The sequence below is a fragment of the Homo sapiens genome, chromosome 1 (assembly GCF_000001405.40).
Source record: "Homo sapiens chromosome 1, GRCh38.p14 Primary Assembly".
NCBI lineage: Eukaryota > Metazoa > Chordata > Mammalia > Primates > Hominidae > Homo > Homo sapiens.
The window spans coordinates 9,314,458-9,338,333 of record NC_000001.11 but is presented as its reverse complement, the minus strand read 5'-3'; the positions used below and the strand labels follow the sequence as shown (position 1 = coordinate 9,338,333).

At 54.7% G+C, this 23,876-nt stretch overlaps 1 protein-coding gene across 1 annotated transcript in view, besides 5 other annotated features; it reads right to left on the bottom strand.

Annotated features, from left to right (window-relative positions):
• The window catches only part of SPSB1 (splA/ryanodine receptor domain and SOCS box containing 1), a 76,639-nt gene that overhangs the window by 31,199 nt on the left and 21,564 nt on the right, over window positions 1-23,876 (bottom strand). The gene's annotated exons all lie outside the window — the stretch shown is intronic.
• Window positions 15,130-15,424: a silencer, noted in NCBI's record as "tiled region #3390; HepG2 Repressive DNase matched - State 9:DNaseU, and K562 Repressive non-DNase unmatched - State 20:ReprD". NCBI's record gives its function as "represses a minimal TATA promoter and a strong SV40 promoter by Sharpr-MPRA in HepG2 and K562 cells {active_cell/tissue: HepG2 | K562}" and the evidence as "EXISTENCE:reporter gene assay evidence [ECO:0000049][PMID:27701403]".
• Window positions 19,549-20,748: an enhancer, noted in NCBI's record as "CDK7 strongly-dependent group 2 enhancer chr1:9377645-9378844 (GRCh37/hg19 assembly coordinates)". NCBI's record gives its function as "activates an origin of replication core promoter dependent on BRD2, BRD4, P300/CBP, MED14 and CDK7 cofactors, with strong dependence on CDK7, by STARR-seq in HCT116 cells {active_cell/tissue: HCT116}" and the evidence as "EXISTENCE:reporter gene assay evidence [ECO:0000049][PMID:35650434]".
• Window positions 19,646-20,190: an enhancer, noted in NCBI's record as "H3K4me1 hESC enhancer chr1:9378203-9378747 (GRCh37/hg19 assembly coordinates)". NCBI's record gives its function as "activates a minimal SCP1, AML or CMV promoter by ChIP-STARR-seq in primed H9 embryonic stem cells {active_cell/tissue: H9 hESC(primed)}" and the evidence as "EXISTENCE:reporter gene assay evidence [ECO:0000049][PMID:30033119]".
• Window positions 20,191-20,735: an enhancer, noted in NCBI's record as "H3K4me1 hESC enhancer chr1:9377658-9378202 (GRCh37/hg19 assembly coordinates)". NCBI's record gives its function as "activates a minimal SCP1, AML or CMV promoter by ChIP-STARR-seq in primed H9 embryonic stem cells {active_cell/tissue: H9 hESC(primed)}" and the evidence as "EXISTENCE:reporter gene assay evidence [ECO:0000049][PMID:30033119]".
• Window positions 21,353-21,526: a silencer, noted in NCBI's record as "fragment chr1:9376867-9377040 (GRCh37/hg19 assembly coordinates)". NCBI's record gives its function as "represses an EF-1alpha promoter that drives an FKBP-Casp9 reporter gene in an ReSE screen in HepG2 liver carcinoma cells {active_cell/tissue: HepG2}" and the evidence as "EXISTENCE:reporter gene assay evidence [ECO:0000049][PMID:32094911]".

Below are 23,876 nucleotides of genomic sequence, written 5' to 3'. Positions count from 1 at the left end.
GAACCTCCTCCCTGGGGACAGGGTCTCCCCTGGGCAGGGGCACCCCACAAAGGGGTCCTGGGGAGCCCACGGCCAGGGCCTTGGCTGTCTCCCAGGTCTCCATGAGCAGAAGCCTGAAGAAACGGGGTAGGGGAGAGCTGAGTGGCACCCCCCAACCGCCAACCTCCATGTCTCCAGGTCTGGGGGGAGGAGCGAGGGGACAGGGGACCTGCAGGGAGAGATGTTGGCCCCTCCCCCATCTGAGCACTCAATGTCTTCCAGGAACCAATTCAAACCTGCTCCCTCTTCCCTGCACCCCAGCTGAGGAGGTGGGGACATCTCCATCCCTGCCTTTTTTCAGAGACAGGCTGCTGACCTTGGCCAGAGCGTTGGCAGCAGACCCACGTCCCTTCCTCACCGGAAGAGCCACCAGGTCACTCTCTTAAGTTACCCCTCCCGCCCCTAAAGGTGCTCTTGGGTCTGTTTTTCCCCATGCTGATCTTCGGCTAGAGCAGCTGCCCTGGCTTCATGGGGCGTCCCAGGAGAGACAGAGACAGAGTGAGGGAGCAAGAGAACGAACGGAGGCAGGGAGCAGGGAGGTTCATCCTTACCAGCGGCTCTGCAGCCTCCACGGATATTGGCTCAGGGCCCCGGTGGCCAGGGAGTCCCCATCAGGAGGGTGGCCTGAGGCTCTGAGCGGATGCCACCCCCAGAGAGGCACCTAACTGGGGACCCCACCTCAGCAAGGCTGGAGGCGCTGCACTCACAGCTGAAGGGGAGAAAAGCCCGCAGAGGGCTGGGGTGCGAGGTTAGGGTGCACCCCTCCCCTACCCCCAGCCTCACCCTGTTCTCCCATCCCCCCAAAGAGGGCTTCCTGTCCCCAAACCATGGAGGCCTTAAAGTTAAAACGAGTGAACAATCTCACTGGCTAGGTGGGCAGGTGGCTGGCCAGGTGTGAGGTGCCTGCCCTGGCCACACTCCTCCCCTGAGTGTCAGGAGCCCTCTCCTCTTTCCCCCACTGAGCCCCCGTCCTTGGCCTCTTAGAGGGACTTCAGGGCCAACTCTTGTCCTCCACTCTGCCTTGGAGGGGGAAGGCCATTGAGCTGGAGCTAATCCCGGGGGTTAGAGGCTCAGATCCTGACTCTGATGTGCTGGTAACATAAATGGACCGTTTCTAGGACAACCAGATGGAAACGACCAGAAAGCACCCCTTCCCCTCTCATGTAGGCCCCTTGTCATCTCTTCTCATTGGGACAAGCAGAACTGATGGAGGAGTTTCTTAGAATGCCAGGAGCATTTGGGGCAATGATGCCAGAGAGAGCTAGAAACATGGTCTGCAGCCAGATGCCAAGGGCCTTGAATGCCACGATAGGGAGTCAGGCCCCAGCACTGTGAAGCGGCCCCTCAGTGGGGACCAGCAGGCACCAGAAGGGGAGGTGCCAGGTTAGAAGGCTCCTTCCCCAAACTCACCCGTACCCGCCTGGGTCTCTGGACAGGGACTATAGAAAGAACTATAAATGGAGATGGAGGGCTAGTGTCCCCCTCTTTCCAGGGAGCAGTGCAGTTTCATCACCGAATGAAAAGGCAGCAAAGGGCAGTGGCTCCCTGAACACAGCAACTATGCCCTTTTATTGTCTCAGAGTGAGGGACCTGCCCGAGCCGGCCAGGAGTTGCGTCCTCACTAGCCCAGCGCCACGGGTGAACTCAGGCAGCGGCCTCCTGCCCCTGCCTCTGCCCCAGACTCTTCCTTGAACGCACGCGGGCAGAGGATCCCCCACTCCTCTTTCTTCCTTTTGCTTTGGGGGAAGCAGTAAAGAACCAGGAGGAGGAGCCGGACGTGGTGGCTCACGCCTGTAATCCCAGCACTTTGGGAGGCCGAGGCAGGTGGATCACCTGAGGTCAGGAGTTTGAGACCAGCCTGACCAACGTGGAGAAACCCCATCTCTACTAAAAATACAAAATTAGCCGGGCATAGTGGTGCGTGCCTGTAATCCCAGCTACTCAGGAGGCTGAGGGAGGAGAATCACTTGAACTCGGAGGCAGAGGTTGCAGTGAGCCGAGATCACACCATTGCACTCCAGCCTGGGCAACAAGAGTGAAACTCCATCTCAAAAAAAAAGAACCAGGAGGAAAAATTAGAAAATTTGTTTTAAGTAAACAGAAAATTCAAAGTGAGTTAACAACCCGAGAAATAACATTTCAAACCAACAACATGAGAGAGCACTGCTCACTTTCCACCTACAGAGACGAGAACAATAAATGCCTACCCTGGAAGCCTGCAGAGAGCCTCAGAGAAGAAAATGGACAGACACGAAGAGTCTTATGGTTCCCAGCACACACTAGGTCCTCAAACAGTGCTGGATGCTTACACAGCTCTGCATGGGGCATCTCTGAGTACCTTGTACTTGATATGTATGAATGCATTAGGTGGTAGCTATCGTTACTACTGTGCACATTGACATTCGGAGGGTAAAAACTCCAAAGATCATCGTCCAGCCACTGATCAAGGGACCAGAGAACCACAACATTCTTTCTTTCTTTTTTTCACAGACAGGGTCCTGCCCTGTCGTCCAGGCTGGAGTGCAGTGGCACGATCATGGCTCACTGCAGGCTCAACCTTCTGGGCTCAAGTGCTCAAGTGATCTTCCTGCCTCAGCCTCCCAAGTACCTGGGACTACAGGAATGCACCACCATGCTCAGCTAGTTTTTTAGTTTTTGTAGAGATGGGATCTCCCCCAGGCTGGTCTTGAACTCCTGGGCTAAAGTAACCCTCCCACCTTGGAATCCCGAAGTGCTGGGATTACAGGCGTGAGCCACTGCACCCGACCCCACAACGATCTTTTTTTTTTTTTTGAGACAGAGACTCGCTCTGTCACCCAGGCTGGAGTGCAGTGGTGTGATCTCAGCTCACTGCAACCTTCACCTCCTGGGTTCAAGTGATTCTCCTGTCTAAGCCTCCTGAGTAACTGGGATTACAGGTGCTCACCACCACACCTGGTTAATTTTTGTATTTTTAGTAGAGACGGGGTTTCGCCATGTTGGCCAGGCTGGTCTCAAACTCCTGACCTCAGGTGATCTGGCCACCTCAGCCTCCCAAAGTGCAAGAATTACAGGCGTGAGCCACTGTGCCTAACCCCACAACATTCTTTTGAGGCACAAAGATACCTTAAAGATCACCCAATGAAAATGCACCATTTTACAAAATGGTGCATTTTACAGGCCCTGTAGAAAACAATACGGCAATTCCTCAAAAAACTCAAAATAGAATTACCATATGACCTAGAAAATCCACTTCTGGGTGTTCACTCAAATAAATGCAAAGCAGGGCCTTGAACAGATATTTGTGCACCCATGTTCATAGCAGCATTGTTCACAATGGCCAAAAGGTGCAAGCAACCCGCGTCCACGGACAGATGAACAAAGAAGCAAAATGGGGCCCATCCCCACGATGAAATATTACTCAGCCTTAACACGGAAGGACATTTTGATACATGCTATATGAGTGAATCTTGAACACGTTATATGAAGTAAAATAAGCCAGTAACAAAAAGACAAATACTATATGATTGCACTTACATGAGGTACCTAAGACAATCGGATCCATAGAGACAGAAAGTTGAATGGTGGTTGCCAGGAGCTCCGGGGAGCAGGAATGGGGGGTCAGTGCCAGGAGCTCCGGGGAGCAGGAATGGGGGGTCAGTGACGAATGGGCACAGAGTTTCCGTTGGGGAAGATAAGAAAGTTCTGGAGATGGACAACGGTGATGGTTGTACAACAATATGAAGGTACCTAATGCCACTGAACTCTTAAAAATGGTTTTAAAATGGTAAATTTGGCCAGGCACGGTGGCTCACGCCTGTAATTCCAGCACTTTGGGAGGCCAAGGCAGGCGGATCACTTGAGGCCAGAAGTTCGAGACCAGCCTGGTCAACATGGCGAAACCCTGTCTCTACTAAAAATACAAAAATTGACCAGGCACGGTGGCTCATGCCTGTAATCCCAGCACTTTGACAGGTTGAGGCGGGCGGATCACCTGAGGTCAAGAGTTCGAGAGCAGCCTGGCCAACATGGTGAAATCCCGTCTCTACTAAAAATACAAAAATTAGCCAGGTGTCGTGGTGGGCGCCTGTAATCCCAGCTACTCAGGAGGCTGAGGCAGGAGAATTGCTTGAGCCCGGGAGGCGGAAGTTGCAACGAGCCGAGATCGCACCACCGCACTCCAGCCTGGGCAACAGAGCAAGACTCTGCCTCAAAGAATAAATAAAATAAAATCTTAATTTTATGTTATATGTATTTGCTACAATTGAAAAATGCTTTGGTTTATATAAAAATAAACAGAAACCTGAGGCATGGAGATTAGGTGATGAATGGAGTCCGTCTGTCCTGATGCTACTGGGACAAAAGCAAAAAAATGAGAAGGAATGTGGCGGAGCATCCCTGGCCAGGCCCCACCTGCCTCTGAGCCAGCCAACAGCCAGGTCCTCTCTACCTTGAGCTGTTTTCCCCGGAGCCGCGCTGGAGAGGAAAGCCAGCTGGGCAGAGGGAGAATGTTGCTATTGATTTGGCCCGTGGGCTCCTTGGGTCTCTTTGGCAACCTCGTTTCCTTTCCGTTGGAATAAAAAAATGACTGTGCTCTTCCCCGGGCCGCTCTGGGGTCAGCCTACACTGGATGAGGCTGTTCACAGCAGGCTCACACCGCAGGCGCTTCAGGAAGCTGACAAGGAGGGCGGGCATGGTGGCTCACGCTTGTAATCCCAGCACTTTGGGAGGCCGAGGTGGGCGGATCACCTGAGGTCAAGAGTTCGAGACCAGCCTGCCCAACATGGCGAAACCCCGTCTCTACTAAAAATACAAAAATTAGCCAGGCATAGTGGCACGCGCCTGTAGTCCCACCTACTTGGGAAGCTGAGGCAGAAGAATCGCCTGAACCTGGGAGGCGGAGGTTGCAGTGAGCCGAGATCACACCATTGCACTCCAGCCTGGGCAACAGAGTGAGACTCTGCCTTAAAAAAAAAAAAAAAAAAAAGAAGCTGACAAGAAGACAGAACTGACAGGAAGTAGAAGTGGACTTGAAAAAGGAGATAAATGCATATAAGACCAGGCCCTAAATGGCTAAGAATTAGGGACAGGCTGCTGTCCAGGAAGTGACAGATGGCTGTGCTGGTCCCTCTGGGAGCAGACACTGAACAGGGCAGACCAAGGTTCTCACCGAAGAAGGTGGGTTCCATGTTTCTGGCCATTTTCCCATGGAGTGTGCACCTGGGAGGCTGATTCTTGGACCCTGGGGGTTTGCTGGGTGCCTGACGCAGCCCACGAGGGCAGAAGCTCAGTGAGCACTTGCTGGTGGAGAGCACTGAAACCAAGTCTCAGCCACGGAGCCCAGGATGGGGCCCAGGCCAGAACCACCCACAGCCGATGCCCTCTCCTGCTGCCACCACACTTCCTGTGGTCTCCGTCACCCTCTACGCACTCAGGCTGCAGAAGCAGCAAGCTGACCTCAGGCCTAGACCCTGCAGGGAAAATGCTCTTCCAAGATCATGACCTCCTAATCGATAAATTGAACGGGCCCAAAAAACAAGCATCCTCTCTCTACCTCTCAACTGTATCTGAAAATACCACCATGCCCTTGACCTGAAACGCTCCTAGTTTTGTGACAGTATCTGACTCACTCTCTAAGGTTCTGTCTCAGCTCCTCCGCCTGTTCTTCCTGCTCCTTACACACAGATGTTTTTGAGGGTCTCTCCCTCCACAGGACCTCCCTCCGTGGGATCCTTTGCTCTCATGGCTCCAGGGAGTGTCTGCCTGTGAACCTGACGTGTCCACCAAATATCATCTCCCCAGCAGTGACCCTGCTCCCACTCATACATCCCTTGTAGACTCAAATGGCCCCCTCCTGGCCTCTACAATGCTGCCAATTTCTATCATCAACCTCTAGTTCACCCAGATTCAAACCCCTCATCTCCCTCAATTCCTCCTCTTCTTGGCTTCCCACATTAGCGCCAAACATTGTAAATTGCTGCCCCCATAGTTGCTGAATCCCACCTTCACTCTCACTGTTTAAGTCATCACTTGCAAGGCCACTGCAAGAGTCTCCAAGTCCCTTAGATCTCAGCCCACTCAAACAAATCTTCCTAAAACGCTCTCATTGAGATTTTTTTTTTTTTTTGGTAGAGGTGGGGTCTCACTATGTTGCCCAGGCTATTCTCAAACTTCTGGCCTCAAGCAATCCTCCCACCTTGGCCTCCCAAAGTGCTGGGATTTATAGGCATCAGCCACCTCGTCTGGCCAAGGCTTTTTTAAATTTTGAAAATCTGTAATTCAAACACGTACAAAAGAGTCACATATTTTCAACACTCAAACTGTCAACAGTTTGGCACATTTGTTTTTGGTCCTTTTATTACACAATAGTCAAATAGCCAGAGGACTGGAACAGACAATGCAAAGAAAAAGTAAATGCAAACAGTAAGTAAACTTGTAGGAAAAGAAGCTCAACCTCCCATGGAGACAAAAGGACATAAAAGAAAAGCAGTAATGAGATCGCACGTTGCACCCTCCAGATTGCTACAGAGTCAATACAGAGATGGTGCCTCCTGTCTACACACAGGAAGCGGAGAGCAAGTACCAACGTGGCTGGTGGGATCTGAATCCGGCAGCTTCGGGGAAATGAATGGCAACTGATCCAACAATTCCACCCCTGGTGCGTGAGCCCATAAGAATGAGTGCCGGCTAGGCACGGTGACTCACGCCTGTAATCCCAGCAGTTTGGGAGGCTAAGGCAGTGGATCAACTGAGGTCAGGAGTTCAAGACCAGCCTGGTCAACATGATGAAACCCCGTTTCTACTAAAAATACAAAAAATTAGTCGGGCATGGTGGCGCATGCCTGTAATCCCAGCTACCCAGGAGGCAGAGGCAGGAGAATCGCTTGAACCCAGGAGGCAGAGGTTACAGTGAGCCAAGATCGTACCACTGTACTCCAGCCTGGGCAACAAGAGTGAAACTCCACCTCAAAAAAAAAAAAAAAAAAAAAAAAAACAAGAGCACCAGTAGCAGAAGGAGATCCATAACGGGTATTTATGACAGAGGTGCGGCCACTTCCTGCCACTCCAAATCGAGTGCACAGTCATTGACAAAGGTCACTTAGGCAGACCACTCTGATATGTTTGCACCATGAACCGTTGTTACACAGCAATTAAAAAGACGAGGTAGAACCACATCAGTGAGCCTGGAGACACTTCCACAAGCATTCAGCGGGGAGAGCACGACAGAATATGAAAGGAGAGCCCATTCTAATAAAATAATGGCATCCCCAAAGATGCAGACATACAGGTCAGTGCAGGCAGGGAGGTATGGAACTACTCTGGGTATATCATCCTTCAATAAAAGATTTAGGATTTTTTTTTAAGTATGTAAAAAAAAAAGACGCAGAAAATTACAAGTGTTGGCAAGGATGTGGAGAAACCGGAACCCTTGGGTATCACTGATGGAAACGCAAAATGGCACAGCCGCTGGACACAGTAGGGTGGTTCCTCAAACTCAAAATGATCGTACGATCCGGTAATGTACTCAACGCTACTGAACTGCACGTCTTAAATGGTTAAGATGGTAAATTTTAGGTTTTTGTATGTTTTACCACGATTAAAAAAAAAAAAGTTCAGAAGAACATGCTCCAGTCTAACATCAGTTTGGGAAGGGAGAGAAAAAGGAGGGGAGGAAAGGAAGAGGACAGGCAAACCCAAAATACTCCCCCAAACGTGTCGGGTGAAGTTAGGGATACGTGTGTCCAGATCACAAGGTCCAGCTGGCAGGATGTTACTGTGGTTCCCTTGGGGTGGTAGGAGTAAGGAGACTGGCAAATCTTTATTATTATTATTATTATTGTTATTATTTTGAGACAGAATTTAGCTCCTGTCGCCCAGGCTGGAGCGCAGTGACACAATCTTGGCTCACTGCAACCTCCGCCTCCCGGGTTCAAGCGATTCTCCTGCCTCAGCCTCCTGAGTAGTAGAGATGCACCACCACGCCCGACTAATTTTGTATTTTGTATTTTTAGTAGAGACGGGGTTTCACCGTGTTGCCCAGGCTGGTCTCAAACTCCTGACCTCAGGTGATCCGCCCGCCTCAGTCTCCCAAAGTGCTGGGATTACAGGCGTGAGCCACCGTGCCCAGCCTGGTACATCTTTATGTGTACATATCAGGTGTCATTCAGATTCTTCTCGATGAGCAAGCACCTAGCAATTATTTACGCCACTGATCTTTGACAAACTACAGTGAGAAGAGATGCCTTGTGTCCTCAGAATGGAGGTAAGAGACCCATGCAGATGGTCAGGTTTCCCTTTTGCTCTTTGCAAAAATGTGCAGTCACCTGCTCCTGGGCCACTCTGAACCCGCTGTCCTGTCATCCACAGCAATTTTCTCCCTGGACTCTAGGAATCAGTCCCAGAAAAGATTCCAAAGGCCTCATAGTATCCAAGTTTTGAGAAGAAATGTCTGCAGAGTCACGTTACCCACAGAACGCTCTCTTCTACCTCCACACCCAAGCCTACCATCCCCACGGCCCCACCGCCATGTGTCCGATGCCGAGATCTGGGAAGTCTCCTGGACTCCAGCACTAACTTCTTTCTTTCTTTTCTCTTTTTTTTTTTTTTTTTTGTTGTTGTTTTTGAAATGAGGTCTCACTCTGTCACCCAGGCTGGAGTGCAGTGGTGTGATCTCGGCTCACTGCAACCTCCCCATCCTGGTTCAAGGGATTCTCCTGCCTCAGCCTCCTGAGTAGCTGGGACTACAGGCGCATGCCACTGTGCCTAATTTTTGCATTTTTTGTAGAGACGGGGTTTCATTGTGTTGGCCAGGCTGTCCAGCACTAACTTCTGATGGGTGGCCATGCCCATCTTCCCAAAGGCTCTCTTCCCTACTCCCTTCCTCGGATCCTCTCACCTGACCTACCCACCACCGGGTGTCACCTCCCCTGACCTCTCCATCACTGCCCTCCAGCCCTTGGCATGAAGTTCCTGGACTGAGACACTCACACACGTCCACCCATCCGCCTGTCCACCTGTCCACCCATCCACCCATCCGGGATCTCACCTTTCCTCCCTCTCCAGCTGCATTTCCCCCCACCCACAAACCCTCAACCGGCTGTGCTCGGGCCCCATGCAGACTGAACCACCTGCAGTGCCCCTCACACTGCTTCATACAACTGCCCTTAGGTGTCTTCAATTCTCCCCCTTGGGAGGCTGTCCCCGCCACCCTGTCCCCCACGCGAACTCCTACACATCTGCCAGAGCTCCAGCAAGTCTTTCTGCCCTTTACTGGCAAATTCCAGCAAATGCAGGGCCCGCCCCTAGTAGGACAGAGCAGTGGTTTTCAACCTGGGTGATTTTACTACCCTCCCTCCTTCACCCCAGCGTACCCTGGGAGATTTGGCAATGTCTGGAGACACATGTGGGGCTCACAAGTTGGGGTGGCGTCTGGTGGGTGGGGGCCAGGGATATTGCTAAACGCCCAGCCACGCCCGACACAAGCCTCACATCAACAATTCCCCTGCCCTATGTCAACAGTGCCATGTTGGGAAGCCCCAGCGCAGAGTGAGCTTCAGGTGAAAAGACGCAGGGTATTCCTGGGACAAAACCATCTTCACGTGCCCAGAAGCACCACCTAGGACCCAACACCTGTGACCCTGTGTCAACTCCATGGCTCTCCCAGGCCAGAGGGAGGCAGTGGGTGGGGCGTTGGTGCTCACCCCAACACACTCATCAGCCTCTGGGTTACCCCGAACGAGATGTTTACCTCTCTGGGCCTTAGAGTCCCTGTTTATAAAACGAAGCATTGAAAGAAATCAGCTCTTCCCCCGAAGTGGCCTTGACGGATTCTTAAGGCATTTGAAATCATGTCTGAGCTGGGTTAGGAAACATCATATCCCCTCCTAGAGAGTCACAAACGCATCAGCATCTTAAAGGCTCTGAGAAGTCCCGCAGGACAGAAACGCAAGGTTCTGCTGAACTCTAGCAGTTCCCAAACTTGAAGAAAAGGGACATTCTTCCTGGAGTGCATCTTTGCACAACATCATGAGGGATGACAGTTTGGAGGACCTCCGAATGTCTTTGGGCTCAGCTGTTTCAAGATTCCATTGATGGGCCAGGCCCTGCCTCCTCCCTCAGCCCCTGTACTGAATCCTCCACACAGCCACGTTCGTCTGGCTCTATAGGAGGGGGTGTAAAGGTGTGTGGCAGAGCTGAGATGTTTACTGTGTGAGGTAAGGGGCTGTTCATCACCTGCTCCAGCTAAGCGAACTCTCTGAAAAGTCCACACCATGGCCCTCGAAATCCTCCCAAAGCGTAAGTGTGATTGCAGCACTCCATTCACCATCCAAGGTCAGCGGCTTGCACTTTGGTGAGAAACTGAGGCTGGTCCTGGGCCCCGTTAGGGCCCGTCCTCTTAAATCTAGACCAGAGTTGGGCAAACTATGCCCAGGGGCCAAATATGGCCCACTATCTACTTCTGGAAGTGAAGCTTGATTGGCACACAGCCAGGCTCACCAGTTTACATGTTGTCTGTGGCTGCTTTCACGCTACAGAGTCGAGTAGTTGCGGCAGACACCATATGGTCTACAAAGCCTAAATCATTACCATCAGGCTCTTAAAGTTTGCTGACCCTTGGTTGAGACCTTAGGAAATGGTGAAGAAACAGGGGTCAAATTTCTCCCCCACACTCCCCCAAGACTCTGTCCTACTGGCTCAGGTGCTTGCATCCTGGTGCACTGGAGTGGCCAGCTGCTCCCCAAGCACAGACAAGTGCTCAGATCCTGCTGTCTGCCCAGCTCGTGCCCAACCCTACACTCCCAGTCTGCCTGCTCTGCCTCGTAAGGTGCATTCCCCATGGCACAGCCTTTCCTGGACCCCCGATGACACCCCCTTCCCTTTACACCCCAGAACCTCATTTCCAGCAGCTACTATCCTGTTTTAGTTATGCGCTTGCCTGGCGATCGACTTTTAAGCATGTATCTGCCAAAGACATACATATCCATGCATACGTGCTACTCACATGCTTCTGTATCGATAGATTACATACATTATGAAACACACATCCCAAAAATAGAAATGAAACTGGATGAGATAAAAATAGCTACCAATTTCTGCCCATACTCAGGGGGATCATCGTATGAGTGGCCACTGTGGAGGCCGTGGGCTTAGAGGGCCATCCTGGGACCCCCGGAAGCGCTGCAAGTGGGCACTGGGGGTTGTGCTAGTCTCTTCCCCACGAAACGACGGCAGATGCATCTAAGAATGAGGAACCATCCCAGTGCCCTGCCCTGAGCACCTGCCCCTAAGCCAAGACCCCCAGGTGCAAGGAGGCTGGGGTTCTCGGGATCCAGGTGCCTCTCCAATCTGGAAGTCTGGAAAAGGGCAGCAAGCAGGAAAGAAGGGGTTAGGGTCCCCGCCTCCACCTAAAAAAGGCGCCAGCTGCTCCCTTGGCAGCAAACACCCTGCTGCATCCACGGGGATTTTTGTGTTTTGACTCAGAGGCAATAAGCCTTTCCGATTAAACCAACACAGACTAAACTGCAGGAATGAGGAAGGCCCCTCAGAAGCAGCGGGCTTACCATTTCTGCTCCGCCAGTGGGAGGGAAGACGGCTGATGATCAGGCTGCTGTTTTTCTCTGGAAGCAGCTGACCAAGGGTGGCTTAGCCTCAGTGGCTTCTTTCTGGGACGGGGCACAGGAGCCTCAGCAAGGCCTCTGGTCCCCCAGCTTCTTGGGGCTCTCAGACTCACACCCCATGTCCCACTCAGAGCAAACCAAGCCCTCCCCCACCAGTCCACCAGGGAGAACATTCAGCCACATGCAGACAGTGACTCTGGTGGTCTCGAGGTGAACCTCCTGCCTCCCTGTTCCCTCTGGTCATGCCTTTGGCCACTGTGCCCAGGCAGTGTGAGGTGACTCCTCCGACACCACCCACTGACTTTTCTGTGGCCCCTTCAGAGACTCCAAGAGCTTCCACGGGGCCCAGTCTGAGTGGCCCCTGGGTGTCTCCACCTCCAGTGCGCAGGGAGACTGAGGATCAGAAAAGCAACCTGCCCAGCCCTTGGGGTGGTGCTGGGAATAAACGCAGATTGGAAAGGGTCCCAGGGGCTGGTTCTTTGTTATTGAAGAAGTCTTCTCATGAGCACCAAAACCTCAACCAATGAAAGGCAGGGAAGACTAAATTCAGCCCCACCAAGAACATTCCACCCGACCTCCCCACGTGTCGGCAGCCCAGCCACCCTCCTGGGGACAGATGAACTAAGGGACATGCAGGGGTGGAGTGGGACAGGTCACTCTGACCTCATGGAGCCCACACTCCTCCTGGCCAGGACCCAGGACACTCTGTCACCTCCTTCCCCCATTCTCTCCTGCCTGCCCCACTGGTCTTCTGGCTGTTCCTGGTACCTGCCAAGCTCCTGCCTCAGGATCTCTGTACTTCCCAAGTCCTCTGCCTGGCTCTGGGCACACCGGGCCTGAGGCCCCAGGTGGCTGTTCCCCGACTTCCCTCAGTGCTCTGCTCTGAGGTCACCACGTCACTGAGGCCTTTCTCAGCCATCCTGCCCAAATGGCAAACGTCCTTTGCCCCCGTGCCATGCTCTGAGCTTCCCCATGGAACTTCACAATGACGTTCACTTGGTTATCTGCTTAAGACCCGTCCCCTGTGAGAACACAGGGGCTGGAACTCAGTCTTGTTCACACTGTGCCTCAGGGGCTGGCACAGTGCCTGGCACAGAGTAAGTGCTCAATACATGCCTGCTGAGTGACTGTCTGTTCCACGGTGCCACCTGCTCACACCACCATGCTCTGCAGAAATGCCGCTCCCATAGAAGCAGGGCCTAGGGTCGCCCACACCACCTTCCTGAAGAGGTGGGCAGGCATCCATCTCTCTGTCCCAGACCTGCTATGGAACCTTCCCCACTGGATCCAAAGCTCTCCTGCCCCAGGTCTGCCTTCCAGGCCCCTCATTCATTGAGAACTCACTCCCCAAAGGTGGCAAGAGCTCAATCCCACACAGCCCAGACTGTCCCTAGTGTGCAGGGCTGGTGAGGACCCAAGGAGTGGGGACAGCTCTCCATCTGCACCGGTGGAGGCGGGGCGGGGGGGGGGGGTGGTGGTGGGAGGCATTGGCTCAGGCCGGAGGGCGGAGTACAGGTCTTCTTGGATGCCCAGCGCCCCGGCTGGGGGAAGCCCAGTCTACAGTGAGAGCACAGGAAGCTTCATCCAACTCCACGTGCTGAGCTCTGGAGTCCCAGCTTCCAGCGAGTGCAGCCACTGCATCCACACCGGCTGCCCATTCAGGAGGCAGCAGCCAGTGAGTGGCTGTGGCTCCCAATGGGGCTGCCTACCCAGTACTGACCCGCTCACAGGCGCCTCCGATCCACCAGCCCGCCAGGCCGGGTGTCCCTGCTCCCCCACCCCACTCGCTTTTCCAAGAAAGCATTTGTCTGGTCTGGATCCGACAAGACCGTGCTGGCTCCACGGCCAGGCGAACAGACTTGTCGCAAACACGACTGTCTGGCCCAGTGTTGGCTCTAAGAAGTCCAGGGCCACAAGCGTTTTTGTCAGAGTGAGCTGTGGCTCGGAGGTGGCTGTGCTCATTCCCAGAGAGATTCTGGGCTCCGGGAGATGCTGGCTGGCCGCTGCCTCCTGCCAGGAGCCACACACAAAGTGCCCTTTATAGGAACAAGACAGGCTGGCCACTGGCAGTTTCAGCCTCAGGGAAACCCAGGTTTGGGTTTTCTCCCAGGGCACAACCAGGCTTTTGTCTTGACTCCCCCTCCCCACCCAAGCTGGTTTCCTCATCGGACACACCGAGTCCCGGGCCCACAGCCCTCCGAGCCGACCCTCCAGAGGCTGGGCACAGAGAGACACCATGGAGGACAGCCAGGGATGTGCACCCAGGCACCAGACGCCCCCACGCTCATCACAGCCTCACTGAGGACCTACCACGTGCTGAGCCACAGGATCGCAGCAGAACTCACCAGAGCAGAGCCGCAGATGGCACACCACCAACAGCTAATCGGGACACGATTCATCGATGCCATGAAGAGCTGTGAGTCCCACTATGTGCCGGCTCCACGTGGTAGTAAAGACAAAGTCCCTCCCACCTAGGCCCATTCCAGCTGCGTCAGAGGTGTCCACTTGCCGGATGAGAAAAACCAGTGATTATCTACCAGAAATATGGTTCCCCACTTTGGCACACAAAAAAAGATATGGACTGAAAAACCTAGGAAAAAAGGTGGGGCCATGACAGAGCAACCAGGCTCAGAGCAACCAGGCTGGCCTGAGGAGGGGTTCTGCGGCCCGAGTTTGGGCCATCAAGGACAGCTGTGGGTAGTCACTTGCAAGTGGCCCACCTCCTCCGGGTCTGCACCCTGGCTCTCCTTCCTGCAGGAAAAGACCCCCTGAATTTCCCATGGGCCACAGAGAGGGCAGATATAAGAGGAAGGGATGGGAGAAGGCTCGGGTTCCAAGGTCCCACATGGCACAGCCCCTGCCGTCCGTGGGCAACAGCAGAAGAAATGTATTCCTCATGACCCTGGAAACTAGCAGCAAAATGACATAGCACTGTCTCACTGAGGCCTGTAGGACCAGCCACCTTGAGGACCTCCAAAGGCTGAATCCCCAGAATCTGCCCAACATGGGCTCTCGGTGCCTGGAGACGCGCGGGCAGCCATGTGTGCAAGACCATCTCCATGCAGGGAGGCGCGTCTGCCATTCTCCCTTCTCCGCTTTGTTTACATCTGGATTCCACGAAGGCTAAACATTGAGCTCCAATGAAGCCCCTGCTTGTGGACAGGGCTCCAGACCCCCATGAGGGCAGCACAGTCCACCACTGACTTCTGACCTTCAAGGTCAGCCTTGGTACCCAGTGCCAGGCTGAGCACCCTCTGACATCCCCTGAGATCTCTGCCAACGGGCCGCGAGGGAGGCTCCACAGCCAGCCAGGGGGAGACATGGAAAGTCCCCAGTGACTCCATGGAGGGCACATCCACTGCTGAGCGCCCCGCCAAGGGGCTGGGGCCAGAGAGGGGCCCAGTGGAGCCACAGCCCCCCTCGGCTCGGCGGGAACTAGAATGTTTCATCCAGACGCTCAAAGCCGCCAGCCCAGCCAGGGCACTTCGTGAGAGCGAAAAGGCTGAGTGCCGGGACAGAGGCCCCATGGATACCCCCCTCCAACATGGCAGCAGGAAGGAATGTCCGGCAGGTGGCTGCAGAGGCCGCAAAGTCCTCGAAGGCCGGAGCTGGGGAGGGGCGGCCGCCTGGCCCGTCCACCACCAGCATCAAAGAGTGACAGCCAGACACTGTCACCGTGGGGAAGGTCACATCTGGGTCAGTGCTGGCGGCACGGGAAGGGAGTGACCTATTTCCAAGGCCCATTCAGGAACCTCCTTGCAAGCCCAGACGTCTGACGCAGCCAGACAACAAAAAAAGGGGCTGAGAAGAGCGTCCGGGCGGGTGGGGTGGGTGCGGGCTGGAGGTGCCTGGTGACCTAACGCAGCGCTTCCCTACACGTCAGGGCTGCCTGCCCCCGCTGACCATCAGACCGGCCAGAACAAGACCCAAGCTCCAAGTCAACATCCCTCTCCGACACCTGCCACCTTGTGTGCTGGCTCTCCTCAGCCTCCAGAATATTCCAGCCACAGTGGAACCTGCAGGTGGTCCTGGCCTCCCCAGAATCTGGCCCAAGATTCTCCCCACACCACCTCCCACCTCTGTCCGCAACGATGCCACTTCTCAGGGGCTTGAAAGAAAACTCATCAGCTACGAACCCTGAGCCCTCATCATGATTGCCATCCCTCCTCAATTAACCATCAGATTAGGGCTTTAAATGCCTCTGGCCAAGGGCCCAGTAGGTGACAGATCGTGCAGGTGAGCAGGCGCCTTTTGGGACAGGAATAACAAAAGAGAATCTGCTGAAAACGTGCAAAAATGAGAGCGAGGCACGGACTTTGGAGCTGACAACCCTGCGTTCTAATCCCAGCTCTGCCCTTACCGGCTATAACCTGAGAGACTTTCCGAACCTCAGTTTCCCCACCTGCAAACCGAGGCTAATAGCCCTGTCTCACTGGGATGATGTGGGGATTAGAGGAGACGATGCTGGTACTCTACTCAGCCTGATGCATTTTTAAGTGCTGATTAAAGAGAAGCCACAGAGGTGAGTCCAAGGCAAAGACGGAGCCAGCCTCGACCACCAGGAGCTAAGTCCTGGGAATGTGGGTCGTTAATAAAGAGCCATTCAAGCCCCTTGCAGGATGGGTGCTCGGGGAGTGCACATATTTACATCACCTGCCCAGTGTGATTCCCAGGTACACATCACCTGGGGATGGTTGGGCCCATCTATAAAACAGACATTGTGGTTGTCCCCCACAGGGTTAGAGGTGACTGGAGAGCCCAGAGCAGGATCACTCGTCAATGGCACCTACGGGTATTAATCTTGCTGCTGTCATATTCCCCACCCCACTCTGCCCATAAAACACCACCCAAGATACTTCTGCCACTGAAGAGCCTCTCCCGTGGTCTCTGCGGTGCCCCTGGCCAGTCTCCCAGCCTCTCAGAGTCCTCCTCCTCCACCGACTCAGAGTCATGTGATTCACATCTTAAGATCTCTGCCATCAGGCTGGTCCTGGAGTCAAGGGCACATTACAGTGACAATCAGCAGCATTTTTTTTTTTATTTAAAGGTGAAGCTCACGGTCGACGGGTCTCAGATGTGATGAAACACAGCATTAGCGAGCTGCCTATGCATCGGTCTCCCTCACTGACTCATCAGTCTCTCAAACACCCTCTTCCCCGTTCTGAGCTGAATCCTTGGCACGCAGTAAGTGTTCGGTAAAGGTCTGGAGAACAGAACTGCTGAGACACTTCTCTATCGGGCACCAAGGTGACGAATAACGGGTCAGGACAAGTTCCGTAAAATCACACAGGATCCGCTCTCTCCCAAGAATGGGCCCTGGAGCTCGGAGCCCACCCCCTGCCATCGGGCTGTCTAGAGCTCCACCACACACACGGGCTTTCTCTGTAAGGAGTTCTTCCTTCACCCTGGATGTGCCATCAACCCAGAAACTCGACGCTCGAAGGAGTCAGCTAAGCCCCAAGAATGTAAATGTTTAAGGCCCACCGCCTGAGACGCCTCTGCAGACTAAACTAAGAAGGTTTAAGAGCTTTTTCCAGCTTTGTGTTTTGGGGGGATTTTTTGGTTGTTGTTTTCTTTTCGGGGGAGGGGTAGAAGGAAAAGGCTGAAAGGGAAACAGGACTATTTCCAGTACCTGTAATTACACGGCTGCCTTTTCCAGCCAGAATCCCCCGCACAGCAACTCCCACTGCCTTGGCCTGGAGAGTGGCAGCCAGGGACTCGGGAAGGAGATTTTAAGCAGGGGAGGGGGACCTTCCACTGGAGCCTGGCAGGGGGAGGGGTTTGGCCCCTCCCCATCAGGCCAGCCTTTCGTGGCCAGAGCTCACTCTAACTCCATCCTGCTAAACCCGGCGCAGGACGTTGTAGCTTCCAAACCACCAGTGACATAAATTTAAAATCCCCCACGAGGAAACAAGAAACACGGAGTCACCCTCCAGGCACCTTCAAAAGGAAGGTCGTGGCCAGCCAGAGCCGAGAGAGGCGAGCCCGGGGTGCAGTCACGACCCTAAGTCACCAGGGTAGGGCAATGTCTAGAAAATGATCAGAGATTTGGGGCAAGTCAGTTTCTCCTGCTCCATTGCTCCAAATACTTGCAAAATGGAAGAGAGGGCTGCGTGCTTCCTCTGTGTATCAAGGAACAACTTAGATGCACGGAGCGAGGCCACTATACACAAAACATCTCAGTAGCAGCGTGCTATGGAACGCCAAGGGAAACGGCTTCTCCCAGCCCTCGAGAGGCCTCCCAATCAAATGGCGGAGATGGGGCCACCCCATATCTGCACACACGTGGGGCAGGGCAGGGGGAGGAAAGGTGAAAGGAGGCAAAGTCCCCGGGAGCTTTCAGCCATCTGGCTGGGATGGAGGAGGCGACACAGACACAGAGGACAGTCCCGGCCCAAGAGGCAATAATGGCTGATGACCGCCCTGCAGTCTGTCTTGGTCGAGCTGCAACCCCCTGCCTAGAACAATGCTTGGCACACAGTGGGTGCTCCGCAAATATCTGTAGAAGGAAGTTTCTGCCATGCAAATTTAGGAGGAAGGCAAAGAGAAACTATAGTGGGGGGTGGGGCCGGTGAGAAGCAGACGCCTGGACACCTGGGGTCCCTGGCGGCCTGCCCTGAGCAGGTGAGTCTAGCTGCACACACAGCAAGAGTCACCTGGCCCAGGGGGCTCGAAGCACAGACTCCCCTCCACCCCTGAGAAGTCGAGGGTCCTGCCTCTGACCCCAGGGACCAGGCCTGCAGGTGGCCAGCTCAGGGGCCGGCTATGGTCCTCCCAGGAGGTCTGGGGCTAGATAGGCGGGGAGGCTGCTTCCCACCTGCAGCCAGGTGGCGACTGGCTGGGCCAGCAGCTCCAGTGGCCACAGAAACAGCGGGTGTGGATGTGAGGGCTCACTCAAAGGCTCATGGAACCAGTCACCCCGCCACCCCAGGCCGACTTCCCTGTAGTACCCTCCCTTCACTACAGCGGACCTTTGGGGGCTGCTCTGCACTGCAGATCTGGCCGGGCCAGACGAGCAGGCTTGGCCTCCCGCAGCATCCTCTGCACCAGCCGGAACGGAATACCAGCCCGGTACGGAACATCAGCCACCGTGAGACACAGCATGCGCAGGCCAGAGGGCCTGACCCAAGCGCTCCCCACCTCCTCCACTCGACTTCAGCGGGGAGCACAGTGGCCCAGGAGTCCCACAAGGAAGGCATGGGGACAGCAGGGCCTCGGAGCCTCTCATCCCACCCCTGTACTTTGAGATCCTAGAGGGAGGAGAAGGAGGAAGAGGAGGGAGGAAGGAGGAGGGAGGAGGGAGGAGAAGCAAAGCACCTGACCTGTGGGGGCTGGGTGTGTTCCCCGCCTTGGTGAGCAACATGCCACGGCCAGGGCAGCGCACACATGTCCACATGCTGACCCGCAGCCCACAGTGCTGCCTGCCTTGGTGCCCTCCCTGTGCCACCCCCCTGGTCCCCCCACTTCCCAGGTCCTACCTCCTCTTTTGTTGTTGTTACTGTTGTTTTGTTTTTTTTGAGATGGAGTCTCACTCTGTTGCCCAGGCTAGAGTGCAGTGGTGTGATCTTGGCTCACTGCAACCTCTGCCTCCTCCCAGGTTCAAGCAATTCTCCCACCTCAGCCTCTGGAGCAGCTGGGATTACAGGGGTGCGCCACCATGCCCGGCTAATTTTTTTGTATTTTTAGTAGAGACAGGTTTCGCCATGTTGCCCAGGCATGACCTCAGGTGATGTGCCCGCCTCAGCCTCCCAAAGTACTGGGATTACAGGTGTGAGCCACTGCGCCCGGCCCTACCACGTCTTTAGGACTCACTGCAGGACACCGCAGGCTGGACTCCTCTTTTGTCACCCTGTGTTACAATCACCAGCTCATGTGACTGTCCCCCACTATATGCAGTGAGTCCTTGGAGACAGGGACCCTGTCCTGCTGTACATCCAGAGCCTGACAGAGGCCCTGATCTGAGTGAGCTGCCCGAATTGCTGAATGGACAGAAGAACAACCCTCTGAATGGTGGAAACAGCTGCCTCCGAGGCACCAGCCACACGGTCTGGCTTTGGTCAATCCTGCACGATTCCGCAAGGTAAGTCTCACACCCATTCTTACAGATGTGGAAACCAAGGCTCAAAGAGGCTGAGTAACTTGTCCAGGATCCAGGTTGGAAGCCAGATTCCAAACTCAGGGTCTTCCTTGGATGCTGGAAACCTGGGAGTGGAGGAAGGAGGGTGGTCTTGAGGACAAAGAGGAACATGGCAGGGGGGCTTCGTGGGCGATAGGAGAGGACGCTGTCCCCATTCCCTGTCTGTCCGCAAGGCAGCCTGGAAATGCTGTGCCTCAGGCAGGGTCCTACACTGTCAGCCAAGAAAGCAAGGAGGCAGAGGCCGGAGAGAACAACCAGCAAGGGAGGCGTGGGTGGGCAGAGACCCAAGCGGGCGGAGGACCCGTCACTGTTCTGCTGCCGGCTGCATTCGTGGTGGAGGATCTGGGGGCATCATGGGCCTCCGGGTGCCCACACCCACCTTCCCCCACTGCCTGCTGTCAGCCCAGACCCCAGGGCCCCACCCTCACTGGGCCACAGGGAACGTCATCTCTCCCTAAGCTGCAGCTTCCCAGAACAATCGCTGCGTTTCCCCAACCTGCCCGGAAAGGGGAATGAGTGCAGCTGCTTCCTCTCCCCACCTGGCACGTCACCAAACCTGCGACTGTCCACCCAGCTTCCTCTGGTTCCACAGATGCTCGGGCCGAGCCTGGCACACAGGGGCCCTTAACAAACTCGCGGAGCGAATGGTGTGCCAAGGAAGCAAGAAACTCCCACCAAAGCGACCCGCCAATCTGCAGGGTCTCAAAAAAAAAAAAAAAAAAATTGGTTCCCTCGCCACCGGAAATCACCTACATAAGGCTCTGAAACTGTCTTTTCTGGCCAGGCACGGTGACTCACGCCTGTAATCCCAACACTCTGGGAGGCCAAGGAGGGTGGACTGCTTCAGCTCAGGAGTTTGAGACCAGCCTGGCAATAGGGTGAAACCCCAACTCTACAAAAAATACAAAATACAAAAATATATATATATCTGGGCGTGGTAGTGCATACCTGAGGTCCCAGCTACTCAAGAGGCTGAGGTGTGAGGATCCCCGAGCCTGGGAGGCAGAAGCCGCAGTGAGCTTTGTCCCCAGCCTGGGTGACAAAGCAAGACTCTGTCTCAAAAACAAACGACAAAAAACCTGTCTGTTCTCACCTGGTGGTCTGAAAATCTCTACCACACGCCCCCACACCCCTTCTCCCAGATACCTAAACCAAATCCTGGAGTCAGATTGATTTCGGTGATGACTTTTATCAAGCACTTACTATATACCGGGTATCATCAAAGCTCCCAGTGGTTTTGCACACACATGCCACCTTCCGCCAGTGACATTTATTCCCTTCTTCCCTTCCTCCTCCCTCTCCAGTGCTTACACATCCCAAGGCCCAGTTTCAGCATCACCTCCTCCAGGAAGCCTTCCCAGATTCACCTGCTGAGAGTAAACCCTGATCCCCAAGGCCAGAACCTTGCTGGCCTCTAAGCACCTTTCTCACCCTCTGCCTAGTATAATATATTATTTGTGAGTTCTCTCTTTCCTTCGCGAGAGCACCGGAAGCAAACCCTCACAGGCCAGGTTAAGGATTCTAAATTCCACCGTGTGTTTCCACTTGGAAGCAGGAAGGTGCATCCAAGGTGAGGCCTGGCCCTGCTACGGGGCCTGGGATCTCTGCGATCAGAAGGAGAGCACCAGGCAGCTCCCTCTACCCGGGGGCACTCTTATACCCGCATTTCACAGATGGAAACTGAGGCTCAGAGAGGTCACAAGGTCCGGCCAGGTCATAGGAGCAGGGAGAACCGAGGTGGAAAGCCAGCCACCTCCCAAGCTGGGCTCGAAGCTGCTGCGGCCCCCAGACCCAGACCCAATGCCGCTTCCGGGGCGGTCTCCCCTGGAGAAGCAGCCGTGGTCCTGACGAAGGCCCGTGCCGCGCCACAGGAATCCGGGAGTCACGGCTGACCACCTGCGCCTGTGCCCCAAGATGGCGGGAACGGGTGGGCTCTAAGGTAGCAAAACGCTCCCAGCCTTTCGTAAATGGCAGCCCCTGAACCCGCTTCGATCAGCCCCCCCCTCCTCGCCATCCAGCACCTCAAGGCGTGATGCCTGGCCCAGCAGCAGCCCCCTAGGACCCTGCCCTACGTGCCCATCAAAGTCTGCTCTGCTTGCTGAGTACCAGTATCACCTGGTTGAGCCCGTGTGGGGACACACACACAAGCACATATGCACACACATAAATACACGTGCACACATGCCCCTCCCTTGTGCCCCAGGGGCTGTCTCTCACCTCTGCCCTAGCACAGTCTAGCATGCCAAGGGACGCCCCCATCTCCAACTCACCCAAAGCAGGTGACTCACCCACAGGGAGGGTCTCCTTCCCAGGCCAGGTCTCCTGGGGGTGCCGGAGCCCCAGGGTCAGGGAGGCCGGCTGTCTGACCTGGCACCTTCCTCTTCACCCAGGTCCCCACCCCCTGCCAGCCCAGGGCAAGGCTGAGTCAGGAAGAACACAGGACCACCGTGGTGCCCTCAGCAGGACCCGGAGACCACTGTGCCGCTGCGGACCCACCACCTCCCTGACCTTGGGCACCTGGTCCCAGTTTGCAAATGACTAAGCAATTTCCACCTCTGAACCCGTCTGCCAAGAGGCCCCGCTGGCTGCAGAACTGCACCAGGATGCCCGGAGCCGCACGCGTGAAACCCGTAACTGGCGAGCCCTCTTCTTGGGAAAGAAAACTCCATGTTTTGTTTTGTTTTGTTTTGTTTTCCCCTTAAATGAAACAAATCCACCCACATAGTTACTGGAAACTCAAGCATGTGAAACTGAACCGTTTGCAAAGAGAATTAGTCAGCAACCTTGTGAGCAGTGCGGTCCCTCCGTAGGTGGGGCTGCCTGTGCTCCTGAGGCCCCCCACCAACTCCCCACTCAGTGTTCTTTGCTGCACGTGATGCCCTAGTAGAGGGTCGAAACCAGGCTGCATCCCACAGGTGGAGGGCAAGGTCACTGGCATCAGGCCAAGGGTGCCATGCACATGTCACTGTGGGCCTCAGAGTGTGCATCACTCGATGGTTAGAAGCTGCAGCTCAGGAGTCACATTCACATTCAGCTCCCACCCCGTCATGTGACTCGAGCCTCTCCAGGTCTTGGTTTCCTCATCTGTAAAACGGGGAGAGCAGAAACCACAAGGTGTGTGTGTTGTATTGTAAAGACTTGCGTGAGACAACGACACAAGAAGCTTTGTGCCTGGTACCCAAAAGGCAGCCACAAAGTCCTGACTGCTGCTGCGATGCCTTCCTGTGGGAGAGCTAACGTGGGTGGGCAACACTGGCACGGGGCTGTGTCCCTTGGAGCCAGTACGGGGTCTTTTGTCGCAGTGGAATCTGCTGAGCTGGTTCCCAGCCCTACTGCTTTGTCCGTGATGCGGCATGGGGAGGCAGGCAGAGGGCCAGGCTGGGTGCCGGCAGGTGCAGCTCTTGTCCCAGCCCCGCTGAGCTTCTCAGCCTTGCCCTCCTCACCTCTACAGAGAGGGGAGATTCATCCCACAAGATGTTGTATTTTAAACCAGTGCAATGCTGTGTCTTTAAAAATAAACAAACAAAAATCCCACTGAATTATTTGCCAACATCTTAAAAAGTCTGGATTCTTGACTTCAAAAGGAATACTACAGTGCCAAGGACTCCACTCCCTCAGGTAAGAGAGGCCACTCCTGTGTGCAGGACATGCTGTTCTCCTTTGCCGCAGTCCTCTCCCTGCCCTGGAGCCTCCCACTGGCTGCCTCCCTCATTTGTGCCTCCTTCCTGACCCCGGGGGGCATGTGAGTTTGTGACCCAGTTTAAAACCCTACTTTTATTTAGGGGTACAACCTCAGCCACTTGCCACTAGAAATGGCCACAGGAAGTGTCCCCTGGGAATAAGGTAATTCAAGTCTGACACTCAAGGCTGATTCTTCCCGGAGAAAAACAAGACGATGTAAGAAGACCTATGCCCCAGTTTGGCTGAGGGAAACTCAGGGATGAGGCTGCCACTTTCTGCAATTCTTTGTGTGATTTACCAGATGAAGAGCAGAGGCAAATATCTGGGGTCTTGCTCTCCCTTTCGCTAACCTGCCTCTCTCTCCATTTGGTGATGAACGGCCTTGTTGTGTAGATCTCAGCCCTCTGGGTCCGCAGAAGGTG